Source organism: Homo sapiens, chromosome X (assembly GCF_000001405.40).
Source record: "Homo sapiens chromosome X, GRCh38.p14 Primary Assembly".
NCBI classification, from domain to species: Eukaryota; Metazoa; Chordata; class Mammalia; order Primates; family Hominidae; genus Homo; species Homo sapiens.
Window position 1 is genome coordinate 68,562,370 of NC_000023.11, and position 2,119 is coordinate 68,564,488.

The following is a 2,119-nucleotide window of genomic DNA, read 5'->3' on the forward strand; positions in this document are numbered from 1 at the left end:
ACCTCTGGTAGAATTCAGCTGTGAATCCATCTGGTCCTGGACTTTTTTTGGTTGGTAAGCTATTAATTATTGCCTCAGTTTCAGAGCCTGTTATTGGTCTATTCAGAGATTCAACTTCTTTCTGGTTTAGTCTTGAGAGGGTGTATAAGTCGAGGAATTTATCCATCTCTTCTAGATTTTCTAGTTTATTTGCGTAGAGGTGTTTGTAGTATTCTCTGATGGTAGTTTGTATTTCTGTGGGATCGGTGGTGATATCCCCTTTATTATTTTTTATTGCATCTATTTGATACTTCTCTCTTTTCTTCTTTATTAGTCTTGCCAGCAGTCTATCAATTTTGTTGATCTTTTCAAAAAACCGGCTCCTGGATTCATTGATTTTTTGAAGAGTTTTTTGTGTCTCTATCTCTTTCAGTTCTGCTCTGATCTTAGTTATTTCTTGCCTTCTGCTAGCTTTTGAATGTGTTTGCTCTTGCTTCTCTAGTTCTTTTAATTGTGATGTTATGGTGTCAATTTTAGATCTTTCCTGCTTTCTCTTGTGGGCATTTAGTGCTATAAATTTCCCCCTACACAATGCATTAAATGTGTCCCAAAGATTCTGCTACGTTGCATCTTTGTTCTCATTGGTTTCAAAGAACATCTTTATTTCTGCCTTCATTTCGTTATGTACCCAGTAGTCATTCAGGAGCAAGTTGTTCAGTTTCCATGTAGTTGTGCAGTTTTGCGTGAGTTTTTTAATCCTGAGTTCTAATTTGATTGCACTGTGGTCTGAGAGATAGTTTGTTGTGATTTCTGTTCTTTTACATTTGCTGAGGAGTGCTTTACTTCCAATTATGTGGTCAATTTTAGAATAAGTGCAATGTGGTGCTGAGAAGAATGTATATTCTGTTGATTTGGGGTGGAGAGTTCTGTAGATGTCTATTAGGTCTACTTGTTGCAGAGCTGAGTTCGAGTCCTGGATATCTTTTAACGTTCTGTCTCGTTGATCCGTCTAATATTGACAGTGGGGTGTTAAAGTCTTGCATTATTATTGTGTGGGAGTCTAAGTCTCTTTGTACGTCTCTAAGGAGTTGCTTTGTGAATCTGGGTACTCCTGTATTGGGTGCATATATATTTAGGATAGTCAGCTCTTCTTGTTGAATTGATGCCTTTACCATTATGTAATGGCCTTCTTTGTCCCTTTTGATCTTTGTTGGTTTAAAGTCTGTTCTATCAGAGACTAGGATTGCAACCCCTGCTTTTTTTTTTTTTTTTTTTTGCTTTCCATTTGCTTGGTAGATCTTCCTCCTTGCCTTTTTTTGGAGCCTATGTGTGTCTTATGTGTGTCTTTGCACGTGAGATGGGTCTCCTGAATACAGCACACTGACGGGTCTTGATTCTTTATCCAATTTGCCAGTCTGTGTCTTTTAATTGAGGCATTTAGCCCATTTACATTTAGGGTTAATATTGTTATGTGTGAATTTGATCCTGTCATTATGATGTTAGCTGGTTATTTTGCCCATTAATTGATGCAGTTTATTCATAGCATCAATAGTCTTTACAATTTGGCATGTTTTTGCAGTGGCTGGTACTGGTTGTTTCTTTCCATGTTTAGTGCTTCCTTTGGGGGCTTTTGTAAGGCAGGCCTGGTGGTGACAAAATCTCTCAGCATTTGCTTGTCTGTAAAGGATTTTATTTCTCCTTTAGTTATGAAGCTTAGTTTGGCTGGATATGAAATTCTGGGTTGAAAATTCTTTTCTTTAAAAAGTTGAATATTGGCCCCCACTCTCTTCTGGCTTGTAGGGTTTCTGCCGAGAGATCTGTTGTTAGTCTGATGGGCTTCCCTTTGGGGGTAACCCGACCTTTCTCTCTAGCTGCCCTTAACACTTTTTCCTTTATTTCAACCTTGGTGAATCGGACAATTATGTGTCTTTGGGTTGCTCTTCTCAAAGAGTATATTTGTGTTGTTCTCTGTGTTTCCTGAATTTGAATGTTGGCCTGCCTTACTAGGTTGGGAAAGTTCTCCTGGATAATATCCTGAAGAGTGTTTTCCAACTTGGTTACATTCTCCCCATCACTTTCAGGTACACCAATAAAATGCAAATTTGGTCTTTTCACATAGTCCTGTATTTCTTGGAGGCTT